At 46.5% G+C, this 27,300-nt stretch overlaps 1 protein-coding gene across 44 annotated transcripts in view, besides 5 other annotated features; it reads left to right on the forward strand.

The window, feature by feature from the left end:
• ARSG (arylsulfatase G) overlaps window positions 1–27,300 on the forward strand; it is a 192,850-nt gene that overhangs the window by 79,646 nt on the left and 85,904 nt on the right. For 41 of the 44 annotated variants that reach the window (XR_007065287.1, XM_047435644.1, XM_047435647.1 and 38 more), the window contains exons 3-6: window positions 4,789–4,976; window positions 8,310–8,357; window positions 12,760–12,871; window positions 17,852–17,989. Coding sequence is in view for 42 of the 44 variants with exons in the window: in XM_047435644.1 (XP_047291600.1) it covers window positions 4,789–4,976; window positions 8,310–8,357; window positions 12,760–12,871; window positions 17,852–17,989 (486 nt within the window). In the remaining 2 variants the exon portion in view is untranslated. The other 3 variants (XM_047435650.1, NM_001352909.2, XM_011524546.3) reach the window with 3 other exon arrangements.
• Window positions 5,526–6,026: an enhancer, noted in NCBI's record as "H3K27ac hESC enhancer chr17:66340482-66340982 (GRCh37/hg19 assembly coordinates)". NCBI's record gives its function as "activates a minimal SCP1, AML or CMV promoter by ChIP-STARR-seq in primed H9 embryonic stem cells {active_cell/tissue: H9 hESC(primed)}" and the evidence as "EXISTENCE:reporter gene assay evidence [ECO:0000049][PMID:30033119]".
• Window positions 6,027–6,527: an enhancer, noted in NCBI's record as "H3K27ac hESC enhancer chr17:66340983-66341483 (GRCh37/hg19 assembly coordinates)". NCBI's record gives its function as "activates a minimal SCP1, AML or CMV promoter by ChIP-STARR-seq in primed H9 embryonic stem cells {active_cell/tissue: H9 hESC(primed)}" and the evidence as "EXISTENCE:reporter gene assay evidence [ECO:0000049][PMID:30033119]".
• Window positions 7,799–7,908: an enhancer, noted in NCBI's record as "active region_12645". NCBI's record gives its function as "activates an Ori minimal core promoter by ATAC-STARR-seq in GM12878 lymphoblastoid cells {active_cell/tissue: GM12878}" and the evidence as "EXISTENCE:reporter gene assay evidence [ECO:0000049][PMID:35858748]".
• Window positions 7,929–8,068: an enhancer, noted in NCBI's record as "active region_12646". NCBI's record gives its function as "activates an Ori minimal core promoter by ATAC-STARR-seq in GM12878 lymphoblastoid cells {active_cell/tissue: GM12878}" and the evidence as "EXISTENCE:reporter gene assay evidence [ECO:0000049][PMID:35858748]".
• Window positions 17,933–17,992: an enhancer, noted in NCBI's record as "active region_12647". NCBI's record gives its function as "activates an Ori minimal core promoter by ATAC-STARR-seq in GM12878 lymphoblastoid cells {active_cell/tissue: GM12878}" and the evidence as "EXISTENCE:reporter gene assay evidence [ECO:0000049][PMID:35858748]".

The raw sequence follows: 27,300 nt of genomic DNA on the forward strand, positions 1-27,300 counted from the left end.
AAACGACCTCCTTGGACTTTCGTTTGAAAATGAAACTGGAAGGTCATTGAGTATAGGGACTGTTTCTTTGCTTCCTTAACATGGATTACAGGGTCTGCCCCAGTAGCTGTTGCTGCTCAGTAAATATTTTTGGAATGAGTGAAATGATAAATGAATCCCTTTGTTATAAATCAGTAGCTTTCTCTCCTGAAGACCTCCTGACAGCCAGCTTAAGGGGCCAAGGCCCCTGCCTAAGAGATTCTCTTTGAGCATTCTCCACTCAGTTTGTAGGATTTTTTTTTTTTAAATGAAGTGATATATACATAAGATAAAATTAGCCACTTTGTAGCCGGGCGTGGTGGCGCGTGCCTGTAGTCCCAGCTACAGCTCTCAGTTGGGAGGCTGAGGCAGAAGAATCGCTTGAACCTGGGAGGTGGAGGTTGCAGTGAGCCGAGATCGCACCACTGCACTCCAGCCTGGGCGACAGAGCGAGACTGTATCTCAAAAAGAGAAAAATAAATAAAAATTAAAATTAAAAAAATAAAAAAGAGGAATATTATTCTTCCATATGCCTATAATACTGTTATTATACTCAGAAAATGAACAAAAATTCCCTGATGTCTTACATTGGGTCTGTATTAAAATTCCCTTAATTATCCTCAAACGTATTGCTAGTTTATGTGAACTGCAGGCCAATCAAGGATCACATGTTACATTTGGTTTTGTCTCTTTAATGGCTTTAATGTAGGTTACTACCCACCCCAATCCCATTTTATCCCATGATACTGACTTTTTGAAGAGACTAGACCAGTTTTCTTGTAGAATATCAAAATACTGGTTTGTTAAATTACTTCCTTGTGGTGTCATTTAATTTGTTTTTCTATGAGCTGTATTTCCTGTAACCTGGAAATTAGATCTAGAGGTTTGATTAGATTCAGGGTAAACGCTTTTGGCAAGAATCCTTGATTTTATAAACTTCATCTTGCATCCCATCAGGAGATGTACGAGGTCAGGGTACCCGTTGTGCATGACACTAAACTTAATCATTTTATAAGGTGGGGATCGCCAGCTCTGTCCAATTTATGATGCTCCGCGGTTGACACTCTGAACAACCACTCCCAACACATCCACTGATCATCAGCTATTAGCTGGGGGATGGGTTGATTTGGCTGCACCAAAGAAAAAAGAAAATAGATGAGGGTTGGGTGAGGTGGAGGTGGGGTTGCAAAAATGGTGATTTCCTGAGCCTGCCATCCCTTCCTTGCATCTGACTGCCTGGCATCCTTCTGAAAAGGAGTGCTTTCTCTCATCACCTAGTGATGACTGTGGTCCTTCTAAAGTGTCAAGATGAATGTTTAATTACGAATTTTTAGGGTGTGGAGTTGGCATAACATTCTTTTCTAATGGTGGTAAATGAATTTTTCTGAGTGTCAGTATGGACTAATGGATTTTTATTTATTCATGGCTTACAATCAAATACACTAATTGTTCTTTTTGTGTGTGTGTGTGTGACTGAGTCTTGCTTTGTCTCCCAAGCTGGAGTACAGTGGTGCGATCTCGGCTCACTGCAACCTCTGCCTCCCAGGTTCAAGCAGTTCTCATGCTTCAGCCTCCTGAGTAGCTGGAATCACAGGCGTGTGCCACCATGTCCGGCTATTTTTTTGTATTTTTAGTAGAGACGGAGTTTCGCCATGTTAGCCAGGCTGGTCTCGAACTCCTGGCCTCAAGTGATCCACCTGCCTCAGCCTCCCAAAGTGCTGGGATGACAGGTGTGAGCCACCACGCCAGGCCTAATTGTTTTTTGATGCCCACATTGTCCCAAGTTTGGCCAGGAGGAGCCCCTCGAAGTTGACTCTTGGGTCTTTCTTTGCTTCCTGGCACAAGCAGATGTCCCAGACTCCCCTGGTACTTCTCCTTCCTCAAATCTGCAATTAACTATTTCTCAAAGGAGAGCCAATTCCTTTTATTGCAGGATGGGGTTTAAAACAAAGATAGAGGTGTAGTATCCTCATTGCCACAGGCGTGTCAATGATTCTAGGCCCTTTCAGCAGATAGTAGCTGGGAGATCTGTATTTTTAAAAAGCATGAGTTCATAATGACTTCTATATTAATTTTAACATTATAGGTTTTTTATTATCTTCTTTTATTTTATATCTTTACCTTTTACCCTGGAAATCTCGGTTCCTGATTAGGAACATTAATATAATTACTTGTTTGCTTTACTCTACCATATCACATAAAATCGTTTCAAAATCCTGAACCCAATATTGCCACCAGTGGAACAGCTACTGAGTGAAGTTTAAGCTTTTTTTGTGGTTCTCTTTGTCCTTAGATTATATCCCATTAATATTGTACAGCCAGAACACTGGGTGCTGATATTACTTGAAATGATTCTTTCCTCTGTGTGGTCATATTACTGTTTATTATATGATTGGATTTATTTGTTTCAGCGTTTTTTGTTTTTTGTTTTTTAATTATAGGGTCTGCTTGTTTTCCCCTTGTGGTTTAATTCTACTTTTTGGCCATGTCAAACGTTTACAAGGTACGAAAGTCAAACTGTATAACAACATAGTCCAGAGATACTTGCTTTCCCCCTCCACATACTGTTTCTCCCTCCCCTTGTGGGAAACCATTCTTTTATTAGCTTCTGGTGTATCCTTTCAGTGTTTCCTTGTGCTTTTTGAAGTGTTCATAACAGTCCCATCTTTTAGATTGATTCCAACCTCTGTGCCACTTCCTCTATGGAGATTTCTCTAAACCTTGGACCGTCATCCAGTTCTTTCTCCGTATCTCAATCCTAGAGCATTCTTTATCTCCATGTCCTGTGGCTCTATTCATCTATTTGGGGTCTTAATTACATGCCATTGTGCATTGTTGTGACTTACATTTGCTCACGTCTTGTCACTCAATGTCTTGTTTCTGCATGTTCCTTGAGGATAGGATAATGGCTAGAATTCTTTTGTATTTCTCAACAATGTCTAAAAAAGGACTGGGCATACAGTAATAGGTAATAGATTCAGTCAATTCTTTTTTTTAATTTTTTGATACAGACTCTTGCTCTGTCGTCCAGACTGGAGTGCAGTGACGCGATCTTGGCTCACTGCAACCTCCAACCCCTCGGTTCAAGCGATTCTCCTGCCTCAGCCTCCCAAGTAGCTGGGGTTACAGGCATGCACCACCATGCCTGGCTGATTTTTGTATTTTTTGTGGAGATGGGGTTTCGCCATGTTGGCCAGGCTGGTCTCCAACTCCTGACCTCAGTTGATCCACCTGCCTCAGCCTCCCAAAGTGCTGGGATTAAAGGAGTGAACCACTACGCCCGACCTCAGTCAATTCTTGTTATTGATAATAGTTATGTTCTATCAAGCCACCGTGAGTACTGAATTGGGGAATACTGACTCTTTTGCTCCCAGGGAAAATATGGAGTTAGCTTCCTATGGGCATCTGTTCACAATATTTTCATTCACTAGTTAAATTAATATATAACTGTATTTTATGAATGCTGCTGTGTAAAGATACCTTATTTTATGTACATATATATATATACATATATATATGTATGTGTTTTTTTTTTTTTGAGTTGGAGTCTTGCTCTGTCACCCAGGCTGGAGTGCAGTGGTGTGATCTCGGCTCACTGCAACTTCCACCTCCTGGGTTGAAGCGATTCTCCTGCCTTGGCCTCCCAAGTAGCTGGGGTTACAGGCACCTGCCACCACACCCAGCTAATTTTTTAAAAAATATTATTGGTAGAGACAGGGTTTCACCATGTTGACCAGGCTGGTCTTGAACTCCTGACCTCAAGTGATCCACCTGCCTCGGCCTCCCAAAGTGTTGGGATTACAGGCGTGAGCCACCGCACCTGGTCCTAACACATACATTTTCTTTATAAGGCACATCAAAGCCTTTGAGTGCTTAGGAACACTACACAGCACTTAGGCACTACATCTGGGGGCCATTTTCCACAGTGAAACCACCAACACAAAACACAAAAATGCAAAAGCCATGGCTCTAAATACACTGTGAGGACATTTGTTTACAGTGCGATATGAGAGCTGAAACCAGAAGGGAGAGGGTCACCTCCTTCAGCCTCCACTGAGAATGTGTGCGCCAAAGCTACTCAAACTTTGCAGGTCTGCCTATATCCGCAAATGACCCTAAATCACCTCAAGTATTGATTTTGGGATTAAAAACATACAACGTTAGTAAGTAGGCACATTTGAAATGTGGAATCTTCGAATAAATAAGATTGAATTTGTTGGATTAAATCCATTTGAATGAGTTGTGGAAACTTGGACTACTTGTGTTGCCTCTCTGGGTTTCTTTTTCCTGAAACCCAGAAATCCTATTTCCTTTTTTTGTTTTGTTTTGTTTTCTTTTTTGAGATGGAGTCTCGCTCCTGTCACCCAGGCTGGAGTGCGGTGGCGTGCTCTTGGCTCTCCGCAACCTCCGCCTCCCAGGTTCAAGCAATTCTCCTGTCTCAGCCTCCTGAGTAGCCGGGACTACAGGCGCACGCCACTGCACCAAGCTAATTTTTATATTTTTAGTAGAGACGGGGTTTCACCATGTTGGCCAGGCTGGTCTTGAACTCCTGACCTCAGGTGATCCTCCCACCTCGGCCTCTCAAAGTGTTGGGATTACAGGGGTGAGCCACCGCGCCTGGCCAGAAATCCCATTTCCTGACTTGTTCCATGACTGGGTGATCTTTGATCTTTGAGCACTGAAATTGCAGGAACTGAGTGGGCACTGCCTTTTCTTTTACTCTGGCTTCCTGTGGTTGGTGCGGTCCTGACCACTGTCCTTTCCCTGCAGGTTTGTGGATTTCCATGCAGCTGCCTCCACCTGCTCACCCTCCCGGGCTTCCTTGCTCACCGGCCGGCTTGGCCTTCGCAATGGAGTCACACGCAACTTTGCAGTCACTTCTGTGGGAGGCCTTCCGCTCAACGAGACCACCTTGGCAGAGGTGCTGCAGCAGGCGGGTTACGTCACTGGGATAATAGGTAACTCTGGGCCCCGTCTGCCTGTTGCATTTACTGCAGTGGCAGCCGCCTTGTGTTTGCAAATTCCCAACATACTCCCTGTCTGCTTTCCTGTTCATGTCTTGCTGTGTGAGTTAGGGATGCTCTCAGCTATAAGGAACTGAAAAGACCTAACAGTGAATTAAAACATACATGGAGCTATTTTCCTCCCATTATAGCAAGTTTTGTGGTAACTGGTTGCTTTCATTAATTCAGCTGCTCAAAGATGCTGCCGGGAGCCAGGTGCTCTCACTCGATCTTTCTGCTCTGCCATCCTTAGCATGTTGGTGTTTGGTGTTTGTCCTCATGCTCACTGCCTCATGACTGCCATCCAGCGACTTTAGGCCCCTGAACCACGATTTGGCTCAAGGAAGGAAGAAGAGAAGGGAGATGGCTCAGCTCTGCCTGCACCCCAAGAATTGCACTTATATCTTATTGGCCAGAGCTGGGTCTTTTGGCCACGCCTCACTGCTGCACTCCCAGATTGAGAAACTGGGGACAGCATTGTAGTGACTGACTTGAACTTGGGCATGGTAATCTTCCTCCCTTTGAACAAAACCACAGTTCTATTAGCAGGATACATGGGGACATGGGCATTGCTGGGAGACCAGCAACGTCTGCCACATTGTCCAATGACTCCCTCTCCTTTAAAACATTTTTTTAGGCATCTCTTACTCAGCATTTATTATGTGCTAGGCACTGGGCTGTTTATTGGCATGAAGATGATTATTGTATTGGCAAGAGAACTGAGTTTCAGGCCGGTGAAGAGAAGCTGCCTAACCTGGAGGGGTGGAGGCCAGGTCTAGGCAGGTATATCTGTTCCCAGCCTTGCCCTGAGGCTCTGCCTCACTGCCCTTCTCCCCTCCAGGAGCCAAGACAGCCCAGTATTCCCAGAAGTATCCTCAGCTCCCTGTGTTTGTTAGTCTAACTCTCAAAGAGCTGGACCCCTTGGGATCCCTGCCTCCTCCACTATACAGGAAATTGCAAGGGAGGGAGGGTGCAACCACAAGCGGGTGGCCCTGTGGGCATGCCTTGGGTGTCTGAACCGTGTGAACCTGTGGGAGGTTGTTCTACCCAGACCCAGGGCTGGTGCCTCTGCTATTGGCCCTTTTATCCCACTCTGGGTTAAAGAGCCTGATATCCTTTTACGGAAGCTCAACCTGGAGTGCGGCATTCTTTGTCCCAGAAGGGGTAAGTCCCAGGCTGTAGGAGAGACCAATTAAGGTCACACACTTCTCTTTTTCCAATCCCTTTCTTCCCATACCCCAAGGAGTCATTATGTTAACAACATCAACACCAAGACACCATTTGTGAAACTGCCACTGTGGGCTGACTCTCCTTACTAGGCCAGTTACATGCGTCCATGTAAACCTCACAGCCAGCTGAACGAAGTGGCTCACGCCTGTAATCCCAGCACTATGGAAGGCCGAGGTGGGAGGATCCCTCGAGCCCAGGAGATCGAGACCAGCCTGGGCACCATAGTGAGACTCTGTATCTACAAATAAGTAAATAAATAATAAAACTCATAGCCAGGAAGAGTTAGGTCCCAGGGCTGTCCCAGACTCAGCCCCTATGCTGCAGAAGTGGGGCTGGCTTCTTCTGGAGCTGAATTTGACCTCACTGGCCCCTCCGTCTTCATGCCTTTAAACTCCCAGTAAGCAACTGTTTGCAGCTTGACTGTTTAGCTGCATTCCTCACCCCCTCACCACTCACGACACCTTTTGCACATCCTGGGCAGGATATTTAAGCATATCCAGCTGTTGCAATTATGAACTAAAGTACACTTTTAGGAAAAATTAAAGACCCACCAAAGGAATATCAGATCCTTTTACAACACTCACACTTTGCTTCTAATCTTGGTCCATGTTTATGTGTTGCCTAGCTGTGCGAATACCACTGGGCTCCACTTTTCCCCCTTTCACATTATTCTATGTTTCCATGTCATATAATTTTACATAGTATAATTTTTATGATTAAACAATACTTTTCATAATTTTAATATAATGTCATGTTCTCATGTAATGTTTAATCCAAATATTTCACATAATGCTTAATACATTTCTCTCAATCTTTTTTATTTATTTGGGACAAAGTCTTACTCTGTCACCCAGGCTGGAGTACAGTGGCTCAATCTCTGCCCACTGCAACCCCCACCTCCCGGGTTCAAGTGATTCTCCTGCCTCAGCCTCCCGAGTAGTTGGGATTACAGGCGTGCACCACCACACCCAGCTAATTTTTGTATTTTTAGTAGAGATAAGGTTTTGCCACGTTGCCCAGGCTAGTCTCAAACTCCTGGCCTCATGTGATCCGCCTGCCTCGGCCTCCCAAAGTGCTGGGATTACAGACATGAGCCACTCAATTGAGAGAAATTGAGAGCCCATTTCTCTCAATTTTTTATTAATCTTTTTTTTCAATCCCATAGAGCAGTTGCAGGGAGGGAATAATGGACTCCTAGAGGCCCTTCATCCAGTTTCACCGATTCTTAATTTTTGCTACATGCAGTTGTCTTGAAAAAATAGATCGATAGTTCCTTATTGAGGCCACATCAAATAATGTACTTAGACATACTCCTGTGGTTGCCCGTTAATCTCTCGTTTGAGCGGTTTAATGCTGCCAGCGTCTCAATCTTTGTACCACATTCTTTTCTTTGCCCCCTCACCATGGGGGTGGCGTCCCTGGGGTCTACTCCTCAGAGCGGAAGAGCAGATCAGAGAGTTCTGACACTGTCAGAGCTCTTGCCACACATTGCCCGATTATTCCCCCAGACTGAGCGCATTTGCAGACCGAGGAGCAGCAGGGTGTCTGAGTTTCCTCATTTGCTGCCCCGTAGGTGTCTCGGTGCTTGAACTGCGGGCTGCTGATGTTGGCCAGAGAGGAAGATGATGAAACCAGGCAGGAAGCGGGCATTTCTGAGACGATGTGGGGCGGTGCACCTGCACCCTGGGCCTCCTGGTGCCTTTGCAGGGCCCCAGCGCGGGAGGGCAAAGTGAAGGAGCCCATGTGGGGTTGCTGTGTCTGTGGAGCCCTCTTTGAGGGGCAGAGGCTCAGGCTTCTCCGGGCTCCTGGTGATGGGCTGTCTTCCCCTTTCACTGTGGTTTCCCGTGTGAGTCTGGGGTCATCCTTTATGTGTCCCTGTGGACACCGTCTCGGCCCCAGAGAGCAAAGCCTGGCTTGTACACCACATTGCAGCTTCTTTTGGCTTGTCCACAGTGCGAGGCGAAGCTAATGGAGAGCTGAGTGTGTGATCAGCTCCTCAGGGGGCTGTGGTACCCCTATGGGGATTCCTCTGAAAATCTCTCTTATGTTTTTCTACAGGCAAATGGCATCTTGGACACCACGGCTCTTATCACCCCAACTTCCGTGGTAAGAATTCTTTTGGGGATTTGTTACCTGGGAAACAGAAAATAAAGGTCTCTGTGTAAGACTCCATGAACAGCTAAGCCATCCTGTCTCTGGGGGCAACCCTAAGTTAGGACATCTTTGTTCACGAGGTCATTTGAGTGCATTTGGGGTGCCAGGGCTCTCCGGGACCTTACATCCCACTTGCTGGCATCTTCCTTGACTGTCCTTCCTTGGTGCCTGTTTGCCCTTCCAACTGCCCCATCACAGGCCCATCAGCTTTTTTGCCATCTCTCGGTTCTTTACACCTCAGGGAACATTCTGCCCCATGAGGTCCAGACATGGCTAATCTGGGAAGAAGTAAAAATTGACTGATGGGTTCACCGAAGCAGGAAACCTGGCCATAGACCCAAACAGGAGATGCTGCCTCTTGGCCTCTTCCTGCAGCCTTTGCTTCCTCACCCTCTGGCCTTGGGGAAGTAGGCCAAGATCAAGCTACCAAAGCTGGTTCTCTGAAAATCACTTTGCTGAAGGGCGGATTCTCCAAACGTCCAATTCACTGAATTACTGATGGTTTTTCAAAGTTGCAGTTCGTGCCACTGACCTTTTCCATTTCCTATAGGAAGCCGTGGACTTTCTCTTAAAGGCATTTACCATGATCTCAGCTTTGGTGGCTTCTCCTGTCCCTGGCCCCTTCCTCTTCTGCCATTTTATAAGCAAATGTGATTCTCTGACTATTTTGCAGACTTCTCCCCTCCCCTGCCCCAGTATCTCTCCCTATCTCTATGGAAAACGGCTGAATTGTTCTGTCCTAGACCTGGCGGAAGGTTTGCATTGGAAGATTTTTGCATTTGGAGAATGACTTTCAGAGGGTTGGCCTGGAGCCAGCCTTCAGCAGGGACCCACTGGTCAGTAACCCCATTGGCTGACGTCTTCTTCAACTCTTACCTCCCCTTTGATGCTCATTCCTCTCCCTCTCCTCCCTTGAGCCCCTTTTCCCAGGTGGGCATTCGTGGCATCATCCACACATGCTTTAAAAAAAATGACAGATGGGAGAAGTGAAGACCTGGCTTTTGCACTCACTAAAAATTACTCCAGAACTTGTTTCCTCCTTGGTCTTCAGTTTTCTCACTTGACAGTTGAGGGGTTGGACCAGATCAGGTGTTGGCACCTTGAGGGCATATTCCTGTGGTGAGGGGATACTGAGACCAGCTCCTATGCAGCAGGAAGTGGTACCATGATGGATCTGGTGTCTCCTGTGGGTGTGGGAAGTGGGAAGAAAGAGTACCTCCTACCTATTTGCTCTTTGGACCAGACAATTCCAAAAAGCCTTCTGGCATGGACACTCTGAGGTTTCTTCATGCTTATGTCCAAGTTCACTCCTTTTCCCTCCTGCCTCTTACATCCTCTCTGCGGTGCACTGTCCTGGTTCCCCGTCTCACTCTGTCTCCCAGGCTAGAGTGCAGTGGCATGATCTCGGCTCACTGCAACCTCCGCCTCCCAGGTTCAAGTGATTCTCATGCCTCAGCCTCCCAAGTAGCTGGGACTACAGGTGCCCGCCACCATGCCTGGTTAATCTTTTGATTAAAAGCTTGGGTTGGAGAAGAGATAGAATGAAGGAGGAAGTCGGAAAAAAACTTCACATGCCCTGGGTTATGCCAAGCACACTTACACATTCCTTCTAAGCACCCACGCTCCTCTTGCTGCCCTGGGCTGTTCCTCAGGTCAGGGCTCCTGCAAACACAACGAGGTCTTTCTAACACTGGGGTATGAGGATGCCTATGATTTAGATCAGTGGTTGGCATAGACCTGTGGTCCAAATCCAGTATGCTAGCTGTTTTTGTAAATAAAATTTTATTAGAAAACAGCAAGGCCAAGCATGGTGGCTCACGCCTGTAATCCCAGCACTTTGGGAGGCTGAGGTGGGTGGATCACCTGAGGTCAGGAGTTTGAGATCAGCCAACATGGTGAACCCCTGTCTCTACTAAAAAAATAAAAAATTAGCTCAGCACAGTGGTGCATGCCTGTAACCCCAGCTATTTGGGAGGCTGAGGCAGGGGAACCGCTTGAACCCAGGAGGTGGAGGTTGCAGTGAGTTGAGATTGCACCACTCCAGCCTAGGCGACAAAACTGAAACTCCATCTCAAGAAAAAAAAAGAAAAAAAGAAAACAGCCAATATGTACAGTCATTTGTGTACATATTGTCTGTGGGTGTGTTTGCGCTACAATGGCAGAGTTGAGTGGCCTTAACAGAGATCATCTGACCCACAAAACCTAAAATGTTTACTATTTGGCTCTTTCCGGCAGAAGTTTGCTCTCCTTGGTGGAGAGTCATCCTGATACCAGATGCAGTAGCATTTCAGGGCTATGTTGTGTACCTAGGGGGTAGCTAAATCCATTTGTGCAAACCAAGTTAGCATGAAGATATCAATTTTTTAAAAATACAACAAACAGGCTGGGCATGGTGGCTCATGCCTATAGTCCCAGCACTTTGGGAGGCCGAGGCAGGTGGATTACTTGAGGTCAGCAGTTTGCAACCAGCCTGGCCAACATGCTGAAATCCCATCTCTACAAAAATACAAAGATTAGCTGGGCGTGGTGACAGGTGCCTGTAGTCCCAGCTACTCGGGAGGCTGAAGCACGAGAATCGCTTGAACCCAGGAGGTGGAGGTTGCATGAGCTGAGATCGTGCCACTGCACTCCAGCCTGGGAGACAGACTGAGACTCCGTCTCAAAAAGAAAAAAAAATACGACAAGCATCTACTAGTTATTCTACATACACCACATATTGGGTTGGCAAAGATCTAATGTCTAACTCGAGGAGTGCATCACTAATGGGGAAGACGGTATTACCCAGATGATAAAAAGTCTGTAGGCTACACTAGGAGAATGGGTTGAGTGCAGGGCTGTGGCAGGCGGGATGCAGTGAAGAGCAGGGAAATTCTGTAGGAAACTTCACACTCAAACTGGGCTGGGAAGTGCTAATGCAGTTTCACCTGTGAGAGACACAGAGCAGATAATTCCAGGCAAAGCCACCGAGGCCCCAAAGCATGAGGCTCACAGGGAACTGAAGAGAGCTTGCTTCTTTTAGGAAGGGTGCTTATAGAGAGGGCCAAAAACGATTTGGAGGGGCAGGAGTTGAAGCTGAAAACACAGCTCTCCCTACTCCTGGGCCTGGAATTTGAGGCTAATGAGAAATAGCAATTCTTTGTGAGATTCGAGTTCTATCTACCTCTAGGAAATAAAGAGAGCTGAAGCAGTTACCTGGGTAATTGGGGAAGGTTTCCTTTTTCTGGAGAATTTTTGCATTCTAGCTGCATATGCAGCTATAGCCTTTGATTAAAAGCTTGGGCTGGGCCGGGCGCGGTGGCTCACACCTGTAATCCCAGCACTTTGGGAGGCTGAGGTGGGTGTATCACGAGGTCAGGAGATTGAGACCATCCTGGCTAACACGGTGAAAACCCATCTCTACTAAAAATACAAAAAATTAGCCGGGCGTGGTGGCACGTGCCTGTAGTCCCAGCTACTCAGGAGGCTGAGGCAGGAGAATGGCATGAACCTGGGAGGCGGAGCTTGCATTGAGCCGAGATTTCCCCACTGCACTCCAGCCTGGGTGACAGAGCGAGACTCCGTCTCAAAAAATAAAATAAAATAAAATAAAATAAATAAATACATAAATAAAGCTTGGGCTGGAGAAGAGATAGAAGGAAGGAGGAACTCAGAAGAAAACTTCAACACAAAGGCTTTGGGTTTCAATGCTCACACCCTTCCATCCCTCACCTTCACTCCACCACTCCAAGCCCAAATTCTGTCAGCCTTTTGAGTCCCAGCTGAAAGGCAGTATCTTTCAAGGCGCATTTTGAGATTCCTGCCCCATCCCCATCCCACCATCTCTATCGGGGGTAACTTCCTGTGATCACTCTTGTTGGCTCACCTATTCATCTCTTATTTCTTAATCTTTATATCTTATTTTCTCCTCACATGAAAAGTCTCTTGAAGGCAGAATTTATTCTTTCTAAAAAATTTTTTATAATTTTTTTTTTCTCTGTGGTTGTGGCAGCTAAGAACAACTGTTTTTTTTTTATCCCTTAAAGTGTCATGTATATAGTAGGTTTTCACCAAATACTGAGTATGTCCATAATTTCGTTGAAGATGTTAGGCATTCAATAATTCTCTCCACTTCCTCCCAAACTGGGTTAATTCTAATCACAAGATGTTTTGCAAATCTAATCTAACAGCCAGAACCCAGCAAAGTGATTTTCTATGCATACTACAAAGGGATATTAATCAAATCCTCTTATAATTACATACTCTATAGCACTGCAGTATTAAATCATAGGAAATTACATTTTTGTCGTGGGTGTACAAAGGCAAGCACATGGAGTCGCAGCCACGTGGGGGTGCTAACCGGTTGCTTCTATTCCAGGTTTTGATTACTACTTTGGAATCCCATATAGCCATGATATGGGCTGTACTGATACTCCAGGCTACAACCACCCTCCTTGTCCAGCGTGTCCACAGGGTGATGGACCATCAAGGTAATGCTGTCTGACACATTTGCGATAGGCTCCAGGACAAGGCAAAGTTCCAAGACTGTGGTCCATCAGCAATAAATTAAAGATGCAGACAGGAAACAGTTAAGACGGCAAATAAGATACACGGTACATTCTGTGCAAATTTAAATGTGTTATTTGCAGGGAGTGCAAGAAACCTTTCAACGATGAGGTCCACAAAATTCTTCTATTGAAATTTTTACAGGTTCCTCAGACTATTGAGCTCAGCTAGGGAGAGGCTTGTGCTGCTAGGGTCTCACACATGTGGGGCCTCCCTCCTCCTCTGCCTGCTGTCTTTGCTTCTAGCCCAGACACTGGACATAAGGAGGGAGGGAGGGAGAGAGCAGAGGAGAGAGACAGAGGAGAGAGAGAGAGAGAGAGACAGAGGAGAGAGAGAGAGAGAGAGAGAGAGACAGAGGAGAGAGAGAGAGAGAGACAGAGGAGAGAGAGAGAGAGAGAGACAGAGAGAGAGAGAGAGAGAGACAGAGACAGAGAGAGAGAGAACAGGATTCCTTTTGAGCTTCTCCCCGCATGGACAACTAAGCCAGCATTCTGATGTTGGAATGCCAAACAGGCACCAAATAGGATGTTTTGAAAAAACATTTAATGAAATGGGAAAATGCTTATGATATAATAGTAAGTGAAAAAAAAAAAAAAGCAGGAAGCAAGTCATCAACGGTAAGATCCTAATGAGCTCTGTAACCCTATCTTTGTAGTCCTATCAACGGAGACTCAAAGGAGATATGCCATAATGTTATCAAGGAATCTCTCTGGTCGTGGGACTCAGGGTTTTCATTTTCTTTTTTCTTTCTTTTTTTTTTTTTTTGAGATGGAGTGTTGCTCTCTTACCCAGGCTAGAGCGCAGTGGCGCGATCTCGGCTCACTGCAACCTCTGCCTCCCTGGTTCAAGAGATTCTCTTGCCTCAGCCTCTTGAGTAGCTAGGATTACAGGTACCCACTACCACACCAGGCTAATTTTTGTATTTTTAGAAGAGACGGGGTTTCGCCATGTTGGCCAGGCTGGTCTTGAACTCCTGACCTCAGGTGATCTGCCCACTTCGGCCTCCCAAAGTGCTGGGATTTCAGGCGTGAGTCACCGCACCCAGCGGTGACTCTTTCTCCACTTTCTCTTTATTTTCCTCTTTGTCATTGTATTTCCTAAGTATCCTGAGATGCATTTATGATCACAAAAAAAAGATGATAAGCCTCACTCAGGTAATAAAGCAGCACAAAACACGTGTTCCCTTGTTCGGACAGAGCACTGTGGTTATTTCTAAGGCTACAGTTGTCTGAGCCACTTGGGAAAGGTGAGTCTCAGCTCGTCTATCTATAAAACAATAGTTAATATAATAGTGGGTATTTATTGAGAAATTGTTACATTCTAAGCACTGTCTATATTTATCTGTAATCCACGTGACCACTGTGTGAGGTAGGTATTTCTTAGGTTGGTGCAAAAGTAATTGCGGTTTTTGCTGTTGAAAGTAAAACCACAATTACTTTTGCACCAACCTGATACCTGATTTTACAGATAAGGAAGCTTATGTTGCCCAGGTTACACCGGAGCTGGAAAGAGGTAGGAATGGAGATTCCAATCCAGGTCTCTCTGAGTCCAGAGCCCATATGCCCTTCCTATCTTTGCTACTCATAGCATAGTCATTGAACCAGCATGGTGGATATCACTTACATGCTTGGTAGAAGTGCACAGATTCACATCCTACCCCCAGGTCTGCTTTTTAACAAGACTTATGCATGCAGTGAGCTATGATTGCATCACTGCACTTCACCCTGGGTGACAGAGTAAGATCCCGTCTCAAAAAACAAAAACAAAAACAAAAACCAGCCCAGGGATTCTGCACATTATGGCATGAAAAGCGAGGCTATAGAGCATCCTGCTGCCCTTCTTACCCACCGTGGCCTGCTGGGCATACCTGTAATCACACCTGGCCATATGAAGGTATGACATATGTCAGCCAATCTCTTTTTAAAATTTTAAAATTTTAATTAATTTATTTTTTGGAAGGATGGAGTCTCGTTCTGTTGCCCAGGCTGGAGTGCAGTAGCACAATCTCTGATCATTACAATTTCCGCCTCCCAGGTTCAAGTGATTTTCCTGCCTCAGTCACCTGAGTAGCTGGGATTACAGGCTTGTGTTACCATGCCTGGCTGAGTTTTGTATTTTTAGTAGAGATGGGGTTTCACCGTGTTGGCCAAGCTGGTCTTGAACTCCTGACCTCAAGTGATCTGCCTACCTCGGCTTCCCGAAATGCTGGGATTACAGGCATGAGCCACTGCACCTGGCCTTCTTTTTCTTCTTCTTGTTCTTTTTTTTTTTTTTTTTATTTCAATCCTGTTCCTTCTGTATTTTTTTATTTTTATTTTTTAATTTTTAATCTATGTTAAAAATCTCTTTTTAATCTATGTTAAAAATCCAGTAGAAAGCCAGGTGCAGTGGGTCACTCCTGTAATCCCAGCACTTTGGGAGGCTGAGGTGGGTGGACCTTGTGAACCCAGGAGTTTGAGATCAGCTTGGTCAACACAACAAAACCCCATCTCTACAGAAAATACAAAAATTAGCTGGGTGTGGTGGCCCATGCCTGTAGTCCCAGCTACACAGGAGGCTGAGGTGGGAGGATGGCTTGAGGAGGAGGTTGCAGTGAGCTGAGATTATGCCACTGCACTTCAGCCTGGGTGACAGAGCCAGATCCTGTCTCAAAAAAAAAAAAAAAGAAAAAAAGAAAAAAAAATCAAACAGAGAAATAATGGGTGGCTTAGGAGAGAGAGAAAAACAGGAAAGAATGTAAATGACTCATGGAGTTGCAATGGTATAATAAAAAGCTGAAAAATTCAACATAAATATGCGATTAGTGTTCTAATGCCCAGCATGGTGATAATTCTTTTTCTCTTTTAAAAAATTTGGGATGCCTGTAATCCCAGCACTTTGGGAGGCCGAGGTGGGTGGATTGCTTGAGCTCAGGAGTTTGAGACCAGCCTGGGCAACATGGTGAAACCCGTTCTTTACAAAAAATACAAAAATTAGCCAGGTGTGGTGGCACACACCTATAGTCTCAGCTGCTCAGGGACTAAGATGGGAGTTTGAGGCTGCAATGAGCTGAGATTGTGCCACTGCACTTCAGCCTGGGCGACAGAGTGAGACCCTGTGTCAAAAAAACAAAACAAAACAAAAATTGTGGTTTTTGACAATTATCCACACAGTCTGACCATATCTCCTATATTTCTGTAATGGGGTGTGTGTGCATGTAGGTGTGATGGCAAGTTTTGATTTCTTCACAAATCCTTCCCAGCACTATTAGGATGACGTATTTGCCTGAGAGAACTCCATTCATTACCACCTCTGTCTGCATTGCTCTCAGCTTCTCTCTTGGTTCTCTTTGGTGACCAGGACTGAGAGCTTGAGATTTTTCAGAATTCCTAATACACTGAAGATGTGTGCAATGCACTAACCATTTGTTATCTCCCTTAGACCACCAGCACCCCTGTAAGGATGGCACAGGCCCTCCAATGCTACGGATAAGGAGATAACTCTGGGAGCTTAAGTAACTTGCCAGAGATCATGACCAGAGTCAGACCATGACTCAGCCACATTGATGGGCAGCTATGGGTCAGATTCATTTCAATCTGTAAGACCAAAACTTGAGCTTGTGTTGTTTTGTTTTGAGATGGAGTTTTGCTCTTGTCGCCCAGGCTGTAGTACAATGGCGCAATCTCAGCTCACTGCAACCTCCGCCTCCTAGGTTCAAGCAATTCTCCTGCCTCAGCCTCCTGAGTAGCTGAGACTACAGGCGTGCAGCACCACGGCTAATTTTTGTATTTTTAGTAGAGATGGGGTTTCACCATGTTGGCCAGGCTGGTCTTGAACTCCTGACCTTAGGTGATCCACCCGCCTTGGCCTCCCAAAGTTCTGGGATTACACGCATGAGCCACTGTGCCTGGCCTGGTCTTGAACTTCTGACCTCAGGTGATCTGCCTGCCTCAGCCTCCCAAAGTATTGGGATTACAGGCGTGAGCCACGGCGTCTGGCCATGAGCTTGTTTTTTTTTTTTTTCCAGGAGATGTTATTAGTTTGACTCTTATTTTTTTTCCAACTGCTGAAGTTTCTCCAAATTCTGCAAACATGGCTTAAAATTAAAATTGTCCCAACCCATCTTATGTATTCCTTTTTATGTATTTATTTATTTTTGAGATGGAGTCTCACTCTGTCACCCAGGGTAGAGTGCAGTGGGATGATCTCAGTTCACTGCAACCTCCGCCTCCCGGGTTCAAATGATTCTCCTGCCTCAGCCTCCTGAGTAGCTGGGATTACAGATGTGCACTGCCATGCCCAGCTAATTTTTGTATTTTTAGTAGAGACAGGGTTTCACCCTGCTGGCCAGGCTGGTCTCGAACTCCTGACCTCAAGTGATCTGCTGGCCTCGGTCTCCCAAAGTGCTGGGATCACAGGCATGAGCCACTGCACCTGGCCCATCTTATATATTCTGTCCTATTGACAGACCTGCTATTACATGAAGTCCCAATTGTTGACTTCGGAAAACGCTGAGTTGCACGCCATACACAGAGGCTGGGATTGAAGTGAGACAGCAGAGAAAGCCAGCAATGGGGCTACTGATTGGTGGTGGGACTCTGCTTGACATCATTTAGGTTCTTTAGACCTCAGTTTCTCTCCCCGCAAAATGCAAGTAATAAAAAATAATGTCCCTAGCTCACGAGAGTCTTTGCAAGCTTTACAGAGTGGTCAGCTCGTCCATGGAACATAAATATCTATTCAAAGGGAATGGAAGAAAGCATTATGCATAGACTTTTACACTTGGAGGAAATGGCCAACCAGAAAAATCATTTGGGGCCAGAGTGTTGTATTTATGTGCATATGCATTGTTGCATTAAAGCATTTAGTTCTGCTCCGTGAGTACGTAGGAAATGAATACTCTATGGTCTGTGGTTTCCACACAGGAACCTTCAAAGAGACTGTTACACTGACGTGGCCCTCCCTCTTTATGAAAACCTCAACATTGTGGAGCAGCCGGTGAACTTGAGCAGCCTTGCCCAGAAGTATGCTGAGAAAGCAACCCAGTTCATCCAGCGTGCAAGGTGAGGAGTCTCCCTCCCTCCGCAGGGCCTCCCCCTGCCTCCACCTACCCGTGCACACACACCATGTCCCTTGGCCTCAGCACGCTTGAGGCCATGGCAGAGTTTTGCTGCTCAGCAGAGATGGATGCATACATGTCTCCTATAAGTAAAGCTGGAAAACAGCCCCTTCTGGAAATCTGCGGTCCTGGATTAGAGATTCCTCAGGTATGTTCCTAGAGTCCCTGGGGCTTATCCCTCTGTTGCTTTGATCACGTTCCACTGCCATGATCATTTTGTCCTCTCCTTCTAGGGTACGAGCTCCTCAAGGGTAGGGCCTGCCCACTGCACTCTGGGCACTCAAGGCATTTGTTGAGCTCACTAGCTGGCAGGATGTATTACTTTTCCATTGCTGCTGTAACAACCAACCACTAATTTAGTAGCTAAAACAACAGTAACTTACCCTGCTACAGATCTGGAGGCCAGATGTCTGAAATGAGTCTTAGGGGGCTAAAATCAAGGCATCAGCAGGACTGTTTTCTTGGGGAGTCTCTAGGGAGGATTCCTTCCTTGCCTTTTCCAGCTTCTGGCATTTCTGAGCTATGGCCATATCATTCTCAACTCTAATTCTGTTGTTCACTTGCATCTTCAGTCAAATCTCCCCTCTGGCTCCCACTTACGATAGCACTTGTGATGGCGTTTAGGGTCCACCAGGAGAATCCAAGGTGATCCCCCTACCTCAAGACCCTTAACATAATTCCACCTGAAAACTCTCTTTTGCCATATACCGTAACATTCACAGATTCCAGGAATTAGACCCTGCTTATCTTTGGGAGCTATCCTTCATTCTACCAGACAGAAGTTACAAATTCCCGCATCTAGAAGGCACAGATAGGTAACCTTAAAGAGGGAAGCAGGATGAACGTAAGGCATTAGGGAGTGGTGGGGTCTACAGTGAACCTGTAAGCACATGCCCCATCTGAAGGGGGCAGCTACTACCTAGCTCCAGCTGCTTGGTGCTTCTTTGTGAAAATGTGAACCTGGAATATCACATCTTTTCATTTTACAACAGAGATAGGATACCTGGCTTTTATGTGAAATCTCCTGATCTTGAAATATTAGAAACTACTAATTAACAAAAGGCTGGGGGTGGTAGCTCATGCCTATAATCCCAGCACTTTGGGAGGCCAAGATGGGCAGATTGTTTGAGTCTAGGAGTTCAAGACTAGCTGGGCAACATGGTGAAACTCTGTCGCTACAAGCAATACAAAAATTAGCTGGGCGTGGTGATCTGCACATGTTGTTCCAGCTACTTGGTAGGCTGAGGATGGAGGATCACTTGAGCCTGGGAGGCATAGGTTGCAGTGAGCCAAGATTGTGTCACTGCATTCCAGCCTGGGTGACAGAGCGAGACCCTGTCTCAAAAAAAATATAAAATGAAAAATAAAATAAAATAAAGGTAAATAAGAAAAACAAAGAAGTGGGCTGTGTGCGGTGGCTCCTACCTGTAATCCCAGTGCTTTGGGATTACACTGGGTAATCCTCCAGGATCGCTCGAGGCCAGGAATTCCAGACTAGCCTGGACAACCTGGTGAGACCTTGTCTTTACAAAAAATTATAAAAAGTGGCTGGGCGCGGTGGCTCACGTCTGTAATCCCAGCACTTTGGGAGGCCAAGGCAGGCAGATCACCTGAATTCAGGAGTTCGAAACCAGCCTGACCAACACGGTGAAACCCTGTGTCTACTAAAAATACAAAAATTAGCTGGGAGTGGTGGCACCCATCTGTAGTCCCAACTATTTTGGAGGCTGAGGTAGGAGAATCACTTGAGCCCGGGAGGTGGAGGTTGCAGTGAGCCCAGATTGTGCCACCGCACTCCAGCCTGGGCGACAGAGCAAGACTCTGTCTCAAAAAAAAAAATTAATACAAGTTATTAAATAGCTGAGCATAGTTGTGTGAATCTGTAGTGCCAGCTAACTCGGGTGGCTGAACTGGGAGAATCACTTGAGTCCAGGAGTTCAAGGCTGCAGTGAGCCATAATGGTGCCACCGTACTCCAGCCTGACACATGGAGAGCCTGTCTCTTAAAAAACCCCCAAAACCGGCTGGGCGTGGTGGCTCACGCCTGTAATCCCAGCACTTTGGGAGGCTGAGGCAGGTGGATCACGAGGTCAGGAGATCGAGACCATCCTGGCTAACACGATGAAACCCCGTCTCTACTAAAAATACAAAAAATTAGCCAGGCGTGGTGGCGGACGCCTGTAGTCCCAGCTACTCGGGAGGCTGAGGCAGGAGAATGGCGTGAACCCGGGAGGTGGAGCTTGCAGTGAGCCGAGATCAGGCCACTGCACTCCAGCCTGGGCGACAGTGTGAGACTCCATCTCAAAACGACAACAACAACAACAACAACAAAACTACCCCAAAACCCAAAAAACAAAAAAGCAAAAACAAAACCATACCACAGTCTATCTCTAATAAATCATATACGTGTGAGGTGTCAGGGCAAAGAATGGACATTGTGAAATAATGGACAACTCCAAAATTGTGCACACTTATTTGGAATGCACACCCATAGACTGTGGGGTGCAAGTGCACACACACACGTGTACCTGCACACATGCACACACAGTCACCCTCCCCGCCCCCTTCATAACTGCCTTCTGCTGCCCTCTAATGACCCCATATATGTTCATCTTATCTTCCTCCTAGGAGATTCCACTCCTCAAGGGCAATGGACTCCAAGAAACTTGGTGTTTTCTACAGCCTTAGCCTAAGTGGTCAAGAAAGCACGTGCTGCACGGCTGTCCACTTGGGCAGAATTAAAAAGGGACTCTACCTGTGGCTAAGTGATCACAGCAGCCCCTTGAATATGCAGGAATCCCCCACCCCTCGCTCAGCCACATTGGACGTTTTTAGAAGCTCAGCAGGGAGGGTTGAGGCAGCAATGCAGGAGATCCAGGCATCCTGTTTTCTTGGTAATAAAACCTATTTAAGGATTGAATCTCAAAAGCAGCTCCTAAGGGCTTCAGAAATTGCATCTTAAGGGTTTATCAGGACTTTCTGAGAACACTGTTGTTTTATTTCAGATTGTCAATAGTAGAAAGGGCAGAGCCTCTTCTGCCATCTGGAGGGTTGAGCGTCTCCCAGCTCCCTGGAACTTTGGGATGGTTTCGGGCCCCTGTGCCCCATGGCACGTGGATGCTTCAAGGCTAGTGGGGACAGTCTCTTCTGCTTTTGTGGTGACTCAAACGACACTGTGTTCTTAGGGGAAGGAATGGGGACTCGGGGCCGTTTAATGCCCCCTCCGAAGTGGGCATAGGGCCTGGACATCCACCCGTTAATTAATCCATTAAAGGGCAAATCAACCGACAGCCTCCTTATTATACAAAAAAGGGGAACAGTTTTGTTAATTCATTAGCTGGTTATTAAGTGAAAAGTCCCGAGTCCTGTTGGCATTTAACATCACAGAAGGAAATCCCCAGAAATGCTGATTTCTTTGGGATTTCCACATGCCAAATGATTTTCTGAGCATCAGCAGAAAAGGCCCTCAGGTCCATGCCCTTCCTCCTCCATGACTCTGGCCCCTGCCTCAAGCCCCTCCCCCACCTTGGACCTGTTTTTCAAAACCACCAGCTGTCCCTAGAGTGTGGCTTCCCGCTCTTCCTTGACAAGGGGGCCCACCCTGGGACTTAGGGAGTTTTTACTTGGGTCTTTAGTTGGCTTTAGTGTTTCACCCAAGACCCTCGACGTAGTACTTGGTTATCACTGCTGGTCATTCAGTTTACTTGACTTTAGACCCTTCATCTGGTAGCAATGCTGAATGCTAATGCTTGATTGGAGTTTTTTAAGCAGCAGGCAAATCTCTGAATGGGAAAAGGAGCCGGTAGAAGGCATGACTCCTGGGTCACAGAGCTAGCTGGGCCTCTGTTCCTTTTGAGGTCTGGGACCGTGCATTGCACCTACGCGGGCAATACAGGGCTTGATAAGCAGGAGTGTATCGGGCATCAGGATGAGCAGCGGCCCAGCATGTTTGAAATCAGACATTTCTTAGTTTTCTTTTTTTGAGACTGAGTCTCGCTCTTGTCACCCAGACTGGAGTGCAGTGTTGCAATCTTGGCGCACTGCAACCTCTGCCTCCTGGGTTCAAGCGATTCTCCTGCCTCAGCCTCCCGAGTAGCTGGGATTACAGGCGCCCGCCACCACACCCAGCTAATTTTTGTATTTTTAGTAGAGACGGCGTTTCACCATGTTGGCCAAGCTTGTCTCGAACTCCCAACCTCAGGTGATCTACCTGCCTCGGCCTCCCAAAGTGCTGGGATTACGGGTGTGAGCTACCGTGCCCGGCCTGAAATCAGACCTTTCAAACAAATCAATCTTCCATGGTGTCATGTACTACACATTGAAATCCTAACCCTTAATGGGGTGGTATTAGGAGGTGGGGCCATTAGGAGGAAATTAGGTTTAGATAAGATCATGAGAGTGAAGCCCCCATGTTGGGATTAGTGTTTGTATTAAAAGAAGAGAAAGAGACTCTGGTGTGCTCTCTCCTGGCCATGTGAGGATACAGTGGGAAGACACTTGTCTGTTAATAAGCCAAGAATCAGCCCCTTACCAGACAGTGGACTTCCCAGCCTCTAGAACTGGGAGACGTAAAGTCAGGCGTGGTGGCTCATGCCTGTAATCCCAACACTTTGGGAGGCCAAGGGTAGGAGATTGCTTGAGCTCAGGCGTTCAAGACCAGTCTGCACAACATAGTGAGACCACCCCCATCTCTACAAAAAACACAACAAAACAAACAAACAAACAAACAAATAGGTCCTTCTGCAGTCTAGAACCTGGAAAAAGAAAAAAAAGGCCAGGCACGGTGGCTCACGCCTGTAATCCCAGCACTTTGGGAGGCCGAGGTGGGTAGATCACATGCAGTCAGAAGAAGTTCGAGATCAGCCTGGCCAACATGGTGAAACCCCATCTCTATTAAAGATACAAAAATTAGCCGGTCATGGTGGCACATGCCTGTAATCCCAGCTACTTGAGAGGCTGAGGTAGGAGAATGCTTGAACCCAGGAGACGGAGGTTGCAGTGAGCCGAGATCATGCCATTACACTCCAGCCTGGGCAACAAGAGCGAAACTCTCAGAAAGAACCATGACAACAACAAACAAACAAAAACAACAACAACAACAAAACCCAAAAAACAGAATTGGGAGAAGTCGATGGTTGTATACTAAGCCACCCCAGGGAGTGGTATTTTGTTATAGCGTCCCTAGCAGGCTAAGACACAGGACACGCATCTTTTGGAACTAGGTCCTCAGGATGCAGAGATGAAAGACATGTTCCAGCCTTCATGAGCTCATGCCTGGGATCTGCAGAATTCTCCGTTTTCCTTGACTCACTATCCGTCTTCATTGCTGGCCCCCATGCTTGCCTAAGTGCCCCTGCTGTGGTGCTGCCCCCTCCTCATCTTGCCTCTCACCCGGCTCCCACCCGACACCAACCTATGTCAGGGATCCAGGTTCAGATCCAAAGACCATACTCACCCCCAACCCCTCTTTCTCCTTTCTCCTGTTTGAATGCAGAGACGGATCTCTAGTGAGTGAGAGAATAAACTAATGACTAGCGAGGCAATCATATCGAACGTCTCCCCCAGGGCTATGTTCTCTGCCTTGTGTGGTCACCACACACCGTCCTCCAGGTCCCACTGTCTCAGGGATCTTTCCCTCCCCTCCACACCCCAAACCCCATTTGGTTCCCCTGTTACACCTTCCACAGCAACTTGTATTTCTCTTCCATCTCTCCTACGGGCTGAGTATTCCGTATCTGGAATGCTTGGGACCAGAAGTATTTCAGATTTTGGATTTTTAAAGAGTTTGGACTATTTGCATTATACTTAACCGGCTGAGCATCCCTAATCCTCCCATGAGTATTTCCTTTGAGTGTCAGGTCAGTGCTCAAACAGTTTCGGAGTTTGGAGTATTTTGGATTTTCAGATTTGGGATGCGCTGCCTATACTAACTTTTTAAATAATCATCTTATTTATATTTTAGTTGCCTTTTTCTCTTTCCTGGTCTCAATTAGATGTTAAACTCCAAGAGGGTGGAAATCATATCTATTGTGCTCATTCCTCTGTCCCCAGTGCCCAGTTAGAGCTTAATAAATATTTAATGAATGAATGAATGAATGAGTGAGTTACTTATCCAGCTCCAGTGATGTGCTGGTGCTGTGCCAGGGATTCAAACGTGAATTAGACATGTCCAGTCTCTGAGTGATTCCCAAGCTAGTGGGGAAACAGATATGTAAAAACATGGCTTTAATGCAGGTTGTTTGTATCTTATTAATACCGCAAGAAGCAGGGAAAAGGGCTATGGCAGGGATGGGGGCAGAGAGGAGGCAGCCAACCATGACCTGGGAGCAAAGGAGGAGGACTATTGGTGGCTTTGGAATTGGATCTTAAGAACTGATTAAGTGTTTTGGGGCAAGATAACAGGGAGAATACTGCTGAGAGAGGAATAACATAGATGAGGCACAGGAAGTAGGTGAGGTGCTTGGGACACTGGCATATAGAAAGAGTCTTTGACAGGGAAGGAAGGTCAGGCTGGAAGGGACGGAGATAGGGAAAGCTGCAAAGACTGGGTGAGGAGTTTGGATTGACCCTGCAGGCTGCAATGAGCCCTAGTACGTTTCTTTTGTTTCTTTCTTCTTTCTTTTTTGAGATGGAGTTTTGCTCTCGTTGCCCAGGCTGGAGTGCAATGGCGCGATCTCGGCTCACCGCAACCTCTGCCTCCCAGGTTCAAGCAATTCTCCTGCCTCAGCCTCCCGAGTAGCTGGGATTACAGGCATGCACCACCATGCCCAGCTAATTTTGTATTTTTAGTAGAGATGGGGTTTCTTCATGTTGGTCAGGCTGGTCTCGAACTCCTGACCTTAGGTGATCCAACTGCCTCGGCCTCCCAAAGTGCTGGGATTACAGGCGTGAGCCATCGTGCCTGGCCGAGCCCTAGTACGTTTCTAAATAGAGATCTGCCAGATCAAGTCTGGGTTAGAGAAGGTTGTCTGTGATGCCAGGGTCTAGTGGAAGATGGCAAAATGGTGGGGCGGGGGACAAGTGGTTATTGCAGCAGTCCATTTCAGAGAGACCCCTTGCCCATCCATCCCCAGGGAGCCACCACCAGAGAGGCCAGTGGGCTGAGAGCTGCAGGTGTTCATTTCCCCCTGCATGAGGGAAGCCCTGCCTTCACCTCCAGGCCTGCCTCCCTCCACCCAGGCACCATCTGGGGACACTTCTTGAGAGATGGGTGCCTCTCACCTGCCCTCTTCCATTTCGGATCAGATGATTTTCCCCAGCCTTAACGGTCCCTGCACCATAATCTTCTCCACACCCTGTCTCCACACCCTGCCCCATCCTCTTGCTCTCCTGGAATGTCCCCTCTGTCATCTTACTTGTTTTTTTCCTTCTCTACTCACCATTCCACTTGTTTTCCCACAAAAATAGCATGTGTTCCCTTTAGTAATCTCGGAAAACTGAGACAAGCAAACAAAAAAAAATCACCCTGAATTCCATCCCAGAGATAACCTGTTTTTTGTTGTTGTTGTTGTTGTTTTGTTTTTTGTTTATTTGAGACAGAGTCTTGCTCTGTTGCCTAGGCTGGAGTGCAGTGGCACAATCTGGGCTCACTGCAACCTCCGCCTCCTGGGTTCAAGCCATTCTCTTGCTGGCTGGGATTACAGGCACGCGTCACCATGCCTGGCTAATTTTTGTATTTTTAGTAGAGACAGGGTTTCACCATGTTGGCCAGGCTGGTCTTGAACTCCTGACCTCAGGTGATCCACCCACCTCGGCCTTCCAAAAGTTCTGGGATTACAAGTGTGAGGATAACCTGTTTTAATACCTCCGAGTATGTTCTTCTAGCCTCATTCTATGCTGGTGCATAAACATATGTTTCCCTGGTTTTATTAAGGTATAGTTGAAATGAATGTGTTTTAGAAAACAAAAGTGGAGTCACACTGTGATATAATCAGTATTTTTTTAAAGCATCAGGTGTCCCCCCACTCTATTTTCCATTCAGCACAGGTGCATAATGAAGAGGTGGCTTGCGGGACAGATGCCCCCAAGGGACTAGTCTGTGTGGGCTCTGCCTGATGCCATGTTTTGGAATCTAGCCTGGCATCAGGATGCAGGGAGAGAGGTACATCCTTGGGCATCATTTATGCTTACTACTGCTGGCATGTATTCAACATTCTTAACAAGGAAGCGGTCGGGCGCAGTGGCTCATGCCTGTAACCCCAGCACTTTGGGAGGCTAAGGCAGGCAGATCACTTGAAGTCAGGAGTTCGAGACCAGCCTGGCCAACATGGCAAAACCTCATCTCTACTAAAAATACAAAAATTAGCCAGGTGTGGTGGCGTGCATGCCTGTAGTCCCAGCTACTCGGGAGGCTGAGGCAGGAGAATTGCTTGAACCTGGGAGGCGGAGGTTGTAGTGAGCCAAGATCGCGCCACTGCACTCCAGCTTGGGAGACAGAGCGAGACTCCGTCTCAGAAACAAAAAACAACAACAAAATAAGCTACCATTTATTAGATGCTTAGTGTGGGAAGTTACACAACTTTGTTGGGGAGGTCTGATTGTCCCCATTTTATAGATGACAGAGGTTAAGTTAATTGTCCAGGGCTACACAGTCATGAAATAACAAATCTGGAGGTTTGGATGCAGGATTCTCAAGCCTGTGCTCTTCATCAGCCTGTGCTCTGCCATCTCTCATAACTGCCTGTCTCTGTAAGCCTCTGGCTCAGGGTGCTAATGTGACTTTGATAATGGGTGAGAGTTTGGAAGATGATGATGGATGATGAAGGGTGGACAGCAGGACCACCCCTCGCCCATACACATGGTGAGCTGATTTCTAAGAAAACAGCTGCAGTCTGTAGCATTTGCCAATTCCTGAGGTGTAAATACTCAATCTCACCATGGCTGATTTCCAGCTATGGAGATGTCACCGAATATGGCATTGAAAAATGATGGGCAGTAGCAAGCCATTGTGTGTTATTTCCACCACACAGATACAATAGATGTAAATAACCCCATGAGCCTACATCATAGCAGAATGTAGTAGTTGGGAAGTGATAAATGGTGAGAATGTACTACTTTCAAAAAATATTATTGATTTATTTAATTTATTTTTTTTTTGAGACAGAGTCTCGCTCTGTCGCCCAGGCTGGAGTGCAGTGCACAATCTTGGCTCACTGCAACCTCTGCCTCCTGGTTTCAAGTGGTTCTCCCTGCCTCAGCCTCCCGAGTAGCTGGGATTACAGGCACCTGCCACCACGCCTGGCTAATTTTTGTATTT

This window comes from Homo sapiens, chromosome 17 (genome assembly GCF_000001405.40).
Source record: "Homo sapiens chromosome 17, GRCh38.p14 Primary Assembly".
Lineage (NCBI taxonomy): Eukaryota > Metazoa > Chordata > Mammalia > Primates > Hominidae > Homo > Homo sapiens.